General features: G+C 37.0%; 1 protein-coding gene and 2 pseudogenes across 4 annotated transcripts in view, besides 1 other annotated feature; 1 reads left to right on the top strand and 2 right to left on the bottom strand.

Moving 5' to 3' along the window:
- The window catches only part of LRPPRC (leucine rich pentatricopeptide repeat containing), a 110,042-nt gene that overhangs the window by 91,118 nt on the left and 5,176 nt on the right, over positions 1-13,748 (top strand). For all 4 annotated transcript variants that reach the window (XR_007068563.1, XM_047442809.1, NM_133259.4 and 1 more), the window contains exons 32-36: positions 3,624-3,828; positions 5,543-5,682; positions 5,814-5,929; positions 8,440-8,514; positions 10,519-10,603. Coding sequence is in view for 3 of the 4 variants with exons in the window: in XM_047442809.1 (XP_047298765.1) it covers positions 3,624-3,828; positions 5,543-5,682; positions 5,814-5,929; positions 8,440-8,514; positions 10,519-10,603 (621 nt within the window). In the remaining variant the exon portion in view is untranslated. The remainder of the gene's footprint in view (positions 1-3,623; positions 3,829-5,542; positions 5,683-5,813; positions 5,930-8,439; positions 8,515-10,518; positions 10,604-13,748) is intronic.
- RN7SL455P (RNA, 7SL, cytoplasmic 455, pseudogene) lies at positions 455-736 on the bottom strand (annotated as a pseudogene).
- Positions 6,484-6,778: an enhancer, noted in NCBI's record as "tiled region #9630; K562 Activating non-DNase unmatched - State 17:Gen3'". NCBI's record gives its function as "activates a minimal TATA promoter and a strong SV40 promoter by Sharpr-MPRA in K562 cells {active_cell/tissue: K562}" and the evidence as "EXISTENCE:reporter gene assay evidence [ECO:0000049][PMID:27701403]".
- RNU6-1048P (RNA, U6 small nuclear 1048, pseudogene) lies at positions 12,353-12,456 on the bottom strand (annotated as a pseudogene).

Raw genomic sequence — 13,748 nt, 5'->3', positions numbered from 1 at the left:
TAAAATACAGTGTTTGTTTGAAGTTTGGAGTTTTCAAATTAATGTTAAGAGAATGACACCTGAAAGATGTGGACATGACTTTGGGGAGGATTGGGATTGGGGTGGGGGCCACTGGTTTGATAGAGGCTGTTTATGAGTTTTGAAGGGGATGAATTGGGATGTGGAGGTCTTATGAATGATCTCCCAAGGGGCACTATGACGAATCTCTTAAATTTAGCTAAGTAGCTTTCCACTTTAAGATTTACATTTGAATTTGAGTGAATACAGTGATACTGCAGTTTTGCCAGTACAACAAAACCCACTTAGGAGATCTTCAAGAAAGGTTGAAAAAGCTCTGGAAATGTAACCTTATTGCTTCCTATCTCTGTAATAATGGTATTATTCCTCACTGCATGTTCTGGTTTTGTTTTGGGTTTTTTTTTGTTTTGTTTTTTTTTTTTGTTTTTGTTTTTTTTGAGATAGGGTCTCATTCTGTTGCCCAGGCTAGAGTACAGTGGTGGGATCGCGGCTCACTGCAACCTCCGCCTCCTGGGTTCAAGCGATTCTCCCACCTCAGCCTCCTGAGTAGCTGGGATTACAGGCGCCCGCCACCACGCCCAGCTAATTTTTGTATTTTCAGTAGAGACAGGGTTTCACCATGTTGGCCAGGCTGGTCTCGAACTCCTGGCCTCAAATAATTCTCCCACCTCGGCCTCCCAAAGTGCTGGGATTACAGGCGTGAGCCACCACGCCCGGCCTGCATGTTTATAACATAAGTTCACATCCTTGAGAGGAAGTTGTTGTTTAATTGTGCAGCTTTAATGTTGCTTATAATACCTAAATGTACTGGTCTTTAGCTGTCTTCCTAATTGATTAGTACTGAATATGTAAGTGAATAGAAAACACTTCTTGTGCCCAGACTTTTGTGGCTAGGCGCAATGGCTCACACCTGTAATCCCAGCACTTTGGGAGGCTGTGGCAGGAGGATTGCTTGAGTCCAGGAGTTCAAGACCAGCCTGGGCAGTGTAGCGAGACCTTGTCTCTACAAAAAATTTTTAAATAGCCAGGCATGGTAATGTGCACCTGTAGTTCTAGCTACTCAGGAGGCAGAGGTGGGAGAATTGCTTAAGCCCAGGAGGTTGAGGCTGCCATGAGCCATGATGGTGCCACTGCACTCAGCCTGGGCAAGAACAAAACCCTTCTCCCGGCCCCCCCAAAAAAGACTTTATGTCCTATTAGTATTTTATGTAATAAAATGATAAACAATTTTAAAACAATGAAAAGTTAAACTTGCTCGCCATATAAATAAGCTCATTGTCATAAATAGCTTTTGTTTCTGTAGACATGGAGATAAGAACAAAACACTTTTCTAATTTCAGGGGGTTCATTTTTCAGCTGAACCTGACCCAGATTTCTTCAGCTGGATTGGTACCCTTTATTTTTATGTTAGGTGCCCTGTGTAAGCTACAGGAAAGGACATGGTATAATTTCTCATCTACTCTTCTGAGCTGTTCAGCTCAATTGGAGGTTGCCTGAGAGCAGGAGCCTCGAGCGCACTGTTCCTGCACTACCTCCCCCACCCCCACCCCACCCCCCTCCCTGAGCACATCACCACAAACCTGTTGTTAGAGTAAAATGATCATCAGTGAGGACAGGAGTAGTGTTTGCACTATTCCCATCTTCTTATTTTGCTCCATGGCTGATGAGAGCTCTTGATTTTTAAAAATTCCCTTCCGTTGTTCTGCCTTTCTTTTAGGTTTCCTTTTCTCAACCCCATCTAAAGCAGAAAGAAAAAATAAAGCCGATTAAATTTTACTGTTGGTGAATATTAATAGCTGATACGTGGCACTTGTACAGTGTAATTAGTATCACTAGTGAGTAATTGAGTAAATGTTGGAATTAGGTGACAGTGGGAAAGGACCTGGGGGGAGGGATGTGGATGGGTAACATTTTTGGTGTCCCTGAAGTCATTAACTGTACAGAAGGCAAGCCTTATATGAGAATAGGATTTAGGTCACAAGGTCCTGTGCTATCTTTAGACAGATGTGAAATGGTCTGTTCTCCCCACCCTTCTGCTCTCTTGTGCACACGCGCACTCATAGACGGAAGCTCTGGGATCATTGGAATCTTCGAGTCTTGTCTAAAAATATGATTTTACCTTGGGCAAACTAATCTCTGTGCCCAGGGGTCTCATCTGTAAAATTGGTACTTGTCTCGGAAGGGTAGTTGTGACAGTAGCTGTTTAAACTGCTGTGCCTGGCATGTAGTAAATGCTCAATAAGTTTGAGTTACTGTCATCACCATCATTAATCTTATTTTTGTTATTATTGTTTTGATGTACTGTGGGAAGAGCCTCCCTAGCTGACAATATTCTTGGTTAATAAGACTATTATTATAATTATCTGTGTATGACCACCCATTAGCAAAATTTTATCAAGCTTATTATAAATATTTTTAAATAGTATAAAAACATTTTTTGTTTCCTATATGTGCATGTGTATTTTTAAATTTTTATTGACTATGCTTTTTAACCTGTTTTTCTTTTTTCTCATTTGAGAATGAGTGGTTTAAGATTGTAGATTTCAAATAATCATAAATTCTTTATTCATTAATGAACACTAAATTCATCATGTCTTTCCACTGTATTTTGAGTACACTTCAATTAATACACTTTCCCCATTTTTCTGTAAAACTAAGCTGTTCTTAGTTGGAAAGCTGTTTGGAGAGTCTTAGTTTTGTCTAAGTTACATTGCTTTAGTTGCTATAAAGCTATTAAGTTTTCTTCGATAATGGTAGGGGTGATTGTTAGGCTACTCCTCAGTCTACCACTTTATTTCATATCATGATTTTGCTACAGTTTTATGAGTCAGTTAGCTAGAAGGCTATTCCATAGTTATTTATAATCAAGTACTTGAAAGTGTGATACTTCAAAAAAACATACAAACAAAACTCCATTGATTATACTGATGCTCCTCAACTTACCGATGGGGCTAAGTCGGGATAAAGTTGAAAATGCATTAACTACCCCATAAACCCATCGTAAGTCAGGGACTGTCTGTATTTGTGGAAATCAGTAGGCATTATTTTTTAATTTAGTGCAGGAAAATAATCACAAGGCATCTAATCATAAAATAAATTTGTTGGTGTTAAAGTTCAATGTTTCAGTTTGGAACATTGATCCTAGAGGATCAATGTTTTTAGTGTTTTTGAGAAAGAATTGTTGGGATATTAAGTTTTGATGATCATTTAATCTTCGAGTTAAAATCTGGACAAGTATGAACATGGATAGAAGTCACACATTTTTGGAAACTCTAGAAAATCTTTCTTATTTGTATTCATTTGAACTTACCAACTTTAGTCACTGAATGTTATCCCTAAATGGAACTCATATTGTCGGTAACATTTGTATTTTCTCTGTGACTTAAAGAAGAAATTCCTCGGGCCTCTAATATCTTATATAGTCAAGTAAATAATTTTTGGGGGTATCTCATGAAGTATTAATAATTTTCTGTAATCTAAAATTAATTATTCATAGCTTTTTGTTTATGGCCATTTGGTGCTCATATTTAAAAGCTGGTTTTCAAAATGCATTAAAGTCAGCACAGGTCATATAAGAAAAGCCATCTCCTGCTCTTGTATTTTAGAGGCTGTGACAACACTGAAAACAGTATTGGATCAGCAGCAGACCCCTTCTAGGTTAGCAGTGACCCGTGTCATCCAGGCATTGGCCATGAAGGGTGATGTTGAAAACATAGAAGTAGTTCAGAAGATGTTAAATGGACTCGAAGACTCCATTGGACTTTCAAAAATGGTTTTCATCAATAACATTGCTTTGGCTCAAATAAAGAAGTGAGTATTTGCAAGCCTTCTTTTCCTTCATTGGTCACTAGAATGGGCATTGCCTCAGATACCACCTTTTAAAAACTTTTTTAGACATGTGGAAACCTTATCAACTGCAGAGGAAATGTTGATGCTAGTTGCTGATTAGGGAATAATTATATGTTGAAAAATATGTTTTTTCTTTACCTTAAATCTTAGAATAAACAGCATTTACCAAATTCATAAATCTTGCTCCACAGTTGATAACCTTTCTCATTCCTGTGTATATATGCCAGGCCTCTTGTTGTCGAAACACTTTGTTCAGAAGTGAAAAATGATCTCATTTGTTTGTCAGTAATATTTGATAGGGACACTAGTAGAATATTGTGAAGCAGAAGGCCCCGCAAGCTTATTAAAAATGTGCATTTCCGTATTCATATTCCTTACCCACCCCGTGAACACTCTCCCACCCCCACAAAAAGGGAGGTATTTAGAGCTGATTTTCTTACCACTGTCTCTAGATTCCTTTTGAGAATTACCCCTGTAGAAATAAATAAGGACTTGATTTTTAATAAGCTCCCTAGCAAAGTACTTTATGGAATTTGATACTTTCAGTATGCTTTTAGAAAAAATGTTCTTTAGTAATCTTGCATACATTTAATGGGACATGATATTAAAATATAATGTTTGTTTTTGTAGGGGTTTTTTTTTGTTTGTTTGAGAAACAGTTGTGTTTTGTTTTGACCTTTTCAAACTATTTCGCCAGATAGAACTTCCCTTTAATAAGAAAATGTGATTGTTTTACATTAGAAGATTGAAGAAATTACTCATCTAAGAACTGGGTGAATTTTAAAGTTTTACCACATAAACACAGTTTTATATGATTCGGAGAACATATTCACTATTAAGTAATTCCTTAAAACTTGTAAGAGAAATATATTGTAACAGTATTCATTTTTAGTTAGAGAATTATGTTTAATATAATAATTTCAACACAATATTGACTGATTGGATTTAGTATGCCATATGGTAACAGTAAAGTATCCATTATAGATTACCTTAACCAAAAAGATAGTCATAGAGATAATTTTTACCATAACTTGCTAAATAAGACCATGTAACTGATTTTTTTCAATGTAAAGTGTGAAGATACTTTTTCCTGAGATTTTTAGTATAAACTGAGTATTTTCCAAATGTATAATACCTGACAAAAAGAAATTGAGGCGACCATAAGTTAGAGACATGCATATATGCCTTTTGAAACATCATCAGTATCTTTAAGAATCCTGAGATGTTAAATACTATTTTTATGCAGTAGTGACAAGTTGTGGATCATAAAGCCAAAATTGTAGCATTTATACAAGTTTTCATTTTATATCCAAAGAGTGGCAAAAATTAAGTTAAATATTTAAGATACAGAATTTTAAAAGTTATCTTCATTAATTCTCCTGTATATAGTTGTTTGATCTTGTCTGTAGAGCATTGTTAAAACAAGCAACTATTTGAACTGCTGTGAAGCAAAATAAACAACCACTGCAGCACGAACCAGCTAGTGAATGTTTTTGCTACTTAAATGTGATTCAGGGTTTCAGTTGCCTAGTGTTTATTTGGTTAAGTGTAAATGTATTTCATTTTTTTCCTAAAGTATTAGCATGAGTGGATATAAAAGTAAGTTCTTAGACTAAACTGCCTGTAATATTAACATAAAAGCAAATTTTTAAGTAATTTATTTTGCTTTTAACAGTAATAACATAGATGCCGCAATAGAAAACATTGAAAATATGCTTACTTCAGAGAATAAAGTCATTGAACCCCAATACTTCGGCTTGGCATACTTATTCAGAAAAGTAATAGAGGAGCAGTTGGAACCAGCAGTTGAAAAGAGTAAGTTAGTTGTTTGTGCTAAAGAACACACAAGCACATTTTCTCTCTAGTGAGACTAGACCAAATTTCTTTGGTAGGTGAGTTATACCACTGTTCTAATGAAAGATTTTTCTTACCTGTCATTTTTCCAGTAAGCATCATGGCGGAGAGATTGGCCAATCAGTTTGCAATTTATAAACCTGTCACTGATTTTTTCCTTCAACTTGTGGATGCAGGCAAGGTGGATGATGCCAGAGCTCTCCTACAGGTAATGACCCTCCACTCATGGAGCAGTGGGGCTCGAGGCTTGCAAGAAGTAAATTGAGAAATTACTAGACATAGGCGTGTGGTGGAATACTAGAAATTCAGTGTGGTGTGCAGCTAGCTTGTTTACATTCAGTGTGAATCACGGTTGCAGGACAAGGACTGGATGGTAGATTTTAGGTTACTGGTTTTAAAGATGCCAGATCAAACTAGAAATGTCTTTAGAATTGAGGTAGCGGGGAGCGGCGGGTGGTGCGGGGGTAGGTATGGGGCAGCGAGTTTCGCTGAAATGATTAAAGACAAATCTTTCTGTGCAGATAGATAATGCAAAACAACAATTCCTTTGATTTTCTACTTTAATTTCTCAAATGCGCTAGATACTGTGCGTCACCATGGCAACACAGTTTGCAAACAAAAAGTAGGAAATGTTTGCTTTTCAAGTACAGCTTCTCACTTGAATACTCAAACATTCTCAGTGCCTTATTCAAGGTTTATTAAGAGTTGAATATGCTTTCTATTCACTTGTGTGTCACAGACACATTAAATGACAAATGCAGGTCTCTGTGGCCCGCACTCTCAGTTAAATTAGCAACCTTCAGGGAAGGAGACAACTGCATTCATGCCATTTTAACAGCACTAAATATAAAGCTATGCCAAGTGCCGACAGAACAGTGGGTGATCCTAGCTGCCACTGGCAATGTACACAAACAGGCACCGCCGGGGAGCCCCTTCCCAGCAGGTGGCAGTCAAACAGTCACCGTGATCCCGCCAACGGCTGTGTTTGTGTAGACTCCCTGTGTCAAATTGAGGCGTGGGACCAATTTCTGATCGTAAATAGTATTATATTCCCTTACATTTTTACCAGCTGTGAAAGATCTTAAGTAGTAGATAGGGAAGGTAAAACTACCCATGTGCTTGACCTCCAGTTTTTATTCTTCAAGTTCATCTAGTTTGACAGTAGAATCCAATCCATTTTTAAAAGGAATACCTGAAAAACTGTATCTCTGTTAACAGTTTTATAAAGGGTGAATTAGCACTGCTTCTCAGACTCTTACTTTTGTTGCTGGAGAAGGGAAATTCCGGTTCACTGGGAATTTTCTTGTTTTGCTTTGCTTGTTTACTTTTTTTCCTTTGTTTTTTTTTTTTTTTTTAATTTTAAGGAAAAGGCAGTTTATGATAGGGATTTCAGGACTTTTAAAATTGTTTTATCTTGCTATCTTACGTGGTGAAAAAAAAAAGAAGGAAGATACTCATGCTTTATCTTCATATGTACATGTCTAAGTACCTACTAGGGGTATAATAAGCATATACATATCTAATTATACACATGATGGTATGCAATCAGTTTTAACACATCCTTTTGATAGTTCTTTAGAAAGTGGCACTTGGTACTTCATCTACTAGCTTGTTCTCTGCCATAATCAAGGTTTTTCTGGAAGAGCACAATTGACAGCCGCCTGGGTGGGTGGCAGCAGGGATGGCGCCTGCTCCCTCAGAAAGAACTGCGTTATCTGCAGTGACCTCACTGAAGGGCTCTTGGTGGTAGCTGAGTGTTGATGCAACAGCAGAGTCTTTTCATTTACCATCTCATCACTAGACTGGGGTTTCAGATGATAAACCCTTCACCCATCCTTTACCTGCTTGTCAAACAGTAAAAGATTATTCTTGCCGTAGCGAAGAATACTTTATTCACAGATGTCAAAAACATCAGTGCGTAATGTAAATGTTCTGTGTGGCCCCAAAAAGTTCTTTTTATACCATTCGTTTTAGTATTGACAGTGTTTTAAAGCTTTGAAAGAGCAGTGTTCTTTTAGAAACTTAAAAGAATGACATCTGTGATGAGTGTAAACTAAAATATTGTCTTGCCATATTTGATTTTACTATAGCATCTAAGATTGGATAGACATTTGATTTATCTGGTCTGTCATGTAAACTTTTTTTTTTAGTTTAACTTTGGTCTCTTTCTCAAGCGCTGGCTGTCTGTTGCAGTGAAAGCCTTTTATAAAATAGAGAGATTGAAATCAGTCCTTTTGTATGCATAAGTGTAGGTAATTATACTTTAAAGAGAACTTGCTTTGTACATTTTAATTTTTATAAAGAAATGAGCAGTTATCTCCCTGACACCTTATTAAATGTATAATTAACCTTATGATCCCTAGCTCACTTGTGAATGCTTGGCAGTATAATTGGAGAGGAATAATGTTTCTTTTTTTCCTCTTTCTTTGCAGTCCTAAACCTTATTCTGTGGTTGTTGAAGCATTAGTTTAATTTTTCCCTTTTCTTTTTAAACAAACTTTATACTTGCAATGCCAAGGACAGCATTCACCAAAGCTTGGCATAGCTTGCACTTGTTTTCTTTTTTCTTGCCTTAAAAAATAATAGTCGACTATTAGGCCTTCCTATTGGTAATAATACACTACTGTATTATTGTGAACTTTCTTAATTGGAAATATTCAGTTTGATCCACTTGTTTATCAGAAACCTTCACTTACTGAATAATGTTTTAATTTTTAGAGATGTGGTGCAATTGCTGAACAAACCCCGATTTTGTTGTTGTTCCTCCTTAGGAATTCTAGGAAACAAGGAAAGGTACTGTGCTTTACCTGCTTACAAATCAATGATACTGTACGTGCCTTGCTCAGAAGTATTGAATTTAACATAAAAGCCTGTTGTTTCAGGACCTTATTTGAGAATACTATAGAGATTCAAGACTTTGCTTGTCTCTACTTAGAGTCAGTTTTGTCGTCTGTTAGCTGTACTGGAAATGTAAAACAAGTTCACGCAGGAATTTTCCACTTACACAGGTATGCATTGAGAGCCCCAAGAAAAGGCCCTTAAAAAATGCAAGATTAGGCTGGGCATGGTGGCTCACACCTGTAATCCCAGCACTTTGGGAGGCCGAGGCGGGTGGATCACTTGAGGTCAGGAGTTTCAGAGTTTGAGACCAGCCTGGCCAGCATGGCGAAACCTGGTCTTTACAAAAAAAAAAAAAAAAAAAAAGAAAGAAAGAAAGAAAGAAAGAAATGGAAGATTAAAATTATGTTGCTTCGGTCACCTTGGGACATTTAACAATGCAGAAGCACTACCAAGGAAAATGTACACTCCAGAGTGTCTCCTAGCACGTGGCTACTTTTGAGCATTTATCAGGTATAAACCATCAGGTAAATGAGCCACTTGGCTTTCAAATTGATATGGAGCCACAAATTAATTCTAATTTGTGCAGTTACTTTATTTACACTGTAAAAGGGGTGGGTGGGTATGTAATAGAACCAAGTCCTTTTGAAAAAATTTTTTAAAAAAAAATTTCTGTGGGTACATAGTAGGTATATCACATTCTACTTTGATGTTTAACTGTAAGTATAAAATTAAATTTCTCTTAGATCGGATTTTACCTCTTGTATACGAGAAACTACATTCTTAGTTTATTTGGGTTCTTTATGAAGTTTCAAACCACATGCCAACTGTGATGCTTGTTTTATTTGAAACATTTAGGCTGTGTCCAGTTTGGGAGGTCTACGTTTTCCTGAATTTCTACACCCTTCCCCTAGATATACCTACACTTTTAAAAAATTTGCTTCATTGCATCTGTGACTCATGTATTTATTTACTACCAACAACTTTTAGAAAATATTTAATTGCCCCTTCTTTCCTTTCAGAGAGGCTGTGTTTTTATACGTGTGATTAAAAAGTATAAGGAATCTGAAAAGCACTTGTCAGTCCACCTGTGGGACTGTGCCAAGTCCCTGTTGCCTTGTCCAGGAGATGGGACGGGAAATGCACGGCAATATGTCTGCTTAGAACATCCCACCCAGGACAGTTTAAAATAGAAGAAGCCCTGGGAGGATGCAGGTCCAGGTGTGGATTGACTGAATAAACATGCTATAGAAAGGAGTTAGGATTTTTAAGATGCCTGTTAACAGTGTTCCATTGCTTGACAGTAGAATAGTTAAGCCAGATTTTGCTCCTCTTGGTGAGATGGGAAGAGGGCATAGATGTTTATATATCCATCATGGGTTTATCCAGTAACGTTGGAGTAGGGCGGGAAATACTCAGCAGATATTCATTACGGCATAGCAGTTCTGTATTCACTCGCTACAGGAAATAAAGCCATAGCCGAGTCTGCATATTCCTGGAAGAAATAAGTAAAAATTTCAGTGAGATTCTGGAAATGCTCTTTTTTGTATGTCAAGTGTGTAACACTTCAGAATGTTTTAACTGAATTCTTTACAATTTCATCAACCAGTTGTGGCACCTAAAGATAGGGTTGTTATCTCTCTACCCTTGGGATCTCATAACTTCTTGGTATGGTCACCACTTGACAAAAGAAGCAATGTGTTTATCATATTCTAGAAAAATATTCATAGAAATGTAAGTGGAATTGCATTAACCTGTGGAAAAATGCTGGTTTCTTTTAGCTGTAGATTATTGAGTCAATATCAAATGCTAATATACAAGGGACAATAGTGCATTAAATTTAATAGGTAGTTCTGTTATAATTATTGTGAAAATTTTTAATATAGTGTTGATTTGTCAGTGTTCTAATTCACTGTTAATTTGCGGTTTTCATAATATTACCTTTATGTAATTTCCTAGGCATCAACTGTGAAATCTGTGTTAGAATTGATTCCTGAATTAAATGAAAAGGAAGAAGCATACAATTCCCTCATGAAAAGCTATGGTAATATAAGTTTAATTTGACTATATTATTTATTTAAATGGCTTTATTATTTAAGTGACTATATCATGTAAATGACTTGTAGTATAGTGAACTAAGTCTTAGTCTTCAGCTCAAAGGCAGTAATCCTAAATATCAGATAATTATGATATAAATAACTCAGTTCTGGAATATGTTTTTAAACTATTAAGAAAAATATGAAATTATGCATATAACTTTAACATTAAAAAGTATCACTGAACATCTTCCGAGCAGTCCGGGTATATTGAGTAGAATCCCAGGCTCCTGGGAAGACCTGGAAATCCTCTTGGACTTATATATCAGAAACCAGTTCAGTCTCCCCAAGGGCCTGCCACCTGAAACAAGTACACATTTGAGACTCACTTAACTGGCCTTCTTGCTCCTTCAGTACCCTCTCTGCTTGCCTGCTACTCCTTTGAAATGACAGACCCTTGATTAAAAAGTAGCCCAAGGTTTTTACGTCCCAGTTCAAATTCTGGTCTTTTAACCAGTTTGTTCCCTGATTGCCAGACAATCACATATGAAAGGAAATTGTCTAAAGTTTCCTCAGTCATCAAAATAAATGTTAGCATTTCTCAATCATGATCACCTCTCCATCTGTGGCCCACTGATTTGCTCACTGGAGGCATGGGGTAAATAAAGAATTGCTTCATTGATTTTATCTATGGGAGGACAACAGACTCAAGAATCAGAATTAGTAAGTCAGTTCTCTTTTTCCGTCCTTACAGGGAGAACATTCTGTATTATTTCAAAATAGAGCTAATAGTCATAAAATTTATCAAATTTCCAGTAACTAAACACAGGCATACCTGGAAGATATGGTTCCAGACCACCACAATAAAGCAAATATAATGAACAAAGTTACATGAATTTTTTGGTTTCCCAGTGCATATAAAAGTTATGTTTACACCATAGTGTAGTGTATTAAGTGTGCAATAGCATTATGTTTTTAAAAAGTACATACCTTAATTTTAAGATATTGCTAAAAATAGTTAACGATCATCTGTGCCTTCAGTGAGTCATAATCTTGCTGGTAGAAGGTCTTGGCTCAATGTTGATGGCTGCTGAATGATCAGGGTGATGATTGCTAAAGGTTGAGATGTCTTAAGACAACAATAAAGTTTGCCACATCAGCTGACTTTTCCTTTCACGAAAGAGTTCTCTGTAGTATGCGATGTTGTTTGTTAGCATTTTATCTGCAATTGAATGTCTTTTCAAAATTGGAATCAATCTTCTCAAACCATACCACTGCTTTATTAACTAAATTTATGTCATATTCTGAATCCTTTGTTGTCATCTCAACAGTGTTCACAGCATCTTTACCAAGAGTAGATTCCTTCTCAAGAAACCACTTTCTTTGGTCATCCATAGGAAACAGCTTCTCCTCATGTTAAGTCTGATCATGAGATTGTAGCAATTCAGTCACGTCTTCACGCTCCACTTCTCCTTCTAGTTGTCTTGCTATTTCCACATCTGCAGTGATTTCCTCCACAGAAATCTTGAGACCCTCAAGGGGTTCATCCATGAGGGTTGAAATCAGCTTCTCCCAAACTCCTGTTAATGTTGATAATTTGACCTCCTATCAATTACAGATGTTCTTAATGGCATCTAGAAATGGTGAACCCTTCCCAGAAGGTTTTCAGTTTACTTTGCCCAGATCCATCAGAAGAATCACTGTCTGTGTCAGCTATAGCCTTATGAAACATGTTTTTTTTTTTTAATTTTATGTTTAAAACATGGAACGCTTTACACATTTGCGTGTCATCTTTGTGCAGGGGCCATGCTAATCTTCTCTGTATCATTCCAATTTCAGTATATGTGTTGCCGAAGTGAGCCCAAAATGTGTTAAGACTTGAAAGTCAAGATTACTCCTTGATCTATGGGCTGCAGAATGGATGTTTTATTAGGGCACCTGAGAACAACATTAATCTCCCTGTATATCTCCTTCAGAGCTCTTGGGTGACCAGGTGCATTATCACTGAGCAGTAATATTTTGAAAGGAATCTTTTTTTTCCTGAGCAGTAGGTCTCTACAGCAGGCTTTAAATACTCAGTGAACCATGTATAAACATCCATGCTGTCCTCTAGGCTTTGTTGTTCCATTTATAGAACACAGGCAGAATAAATTTAGCGTAATTCTTAAGGGCCCTAGGATTTGGGAATGGTAAGTGAGCATTGGCATCAACATAAAGTCACCAGCTGCATTAGCCATTGAAAATAGAGTCAGCCTGTCCTTTGAAGCTAGGCATTAGCTTTTCCTCTCTAGCTATGAAATCTTTGATGACATCTTCTAATATAAGACTGTTTTATCTACATGGAGTATCTGTTGTTTAGTGTAGCCGCCTTCATCAGTGGTCTTAGCTAGATTTTCTGGATAACCTGCCGTAGCTTCTGCATCAGCATTTGCTGCTTCACCTTGGACTTTCGTGTCATGGAGATGGCTTCTTTCCTTAAACCTCATGAACCAGCCTCTGCTAGTATTAGGGCCTTGCACTGGATTAGGCTTTGGCTTTTAAGGGAATGTTGTGGCTGGTTTGATCTTCTATCCGGACCAATAAAACTTTCTCCATGTCACTAGTAAGGCTGTGTCAGTTTCTTATCATTTGTGTGTTCAGTGAAGTAGCACCTTTTTAATTTCCTTCAAGGACTTTTCCTTTGCATTCACAACTGGCTGTTCCACGCAAGAAGCCTAGCTTTCAGCGTATCTCGGCTTTTGACATGCCTTCCTCACTAAGCTAAGCTTAATCATTTCATTTCTCGCTTCTGATTTAAATGAGAGATGTATGACTCTTTCACTTGAACACTTAGAGGCTATAATAGGGTTTTTAATTGGCCTAATTTCAATATTGTTGTGTCTCAGAATAGGGAGGCCTGAGTAGAGGAAGACAGGAGAATTACTAGTCAGCATCGCAGTCAGAACACGTTTCTCAAGTTTGCCATCTTCCATGTGTATGGTTCATAGCATCCCCCAATTACAATAGTAACATCAAAGATCACTGGTCACAGATCACCGTAACAGATATAACAATAATGAAAAAGGTTGAAATATTCCAGGAATTACCAAAATGTGACACAGAGACACAAAGTAAGCACATATTGTTGGAAAAATGGCATTGATAGACTTGCCC

This window comes from Homo sapiens, chromosome 2 (genome assembly GCF_000001405.40).
Source record: "Homo sapiens chromosome 2, GRCh38.p14 Primary Assembly".
In the NCBI taxonomy this organism is placed as follows: domain Eukaryota; kingdom Metazoa; phylum Chordata; class Mammalia; order Primates; family Hominidae; genus Homo; species Homo sapiens.
Note: the sequence above shows the minus strand (reverse complement) of the source record. Positions and strands in the feature narration are given on the sequence as shown.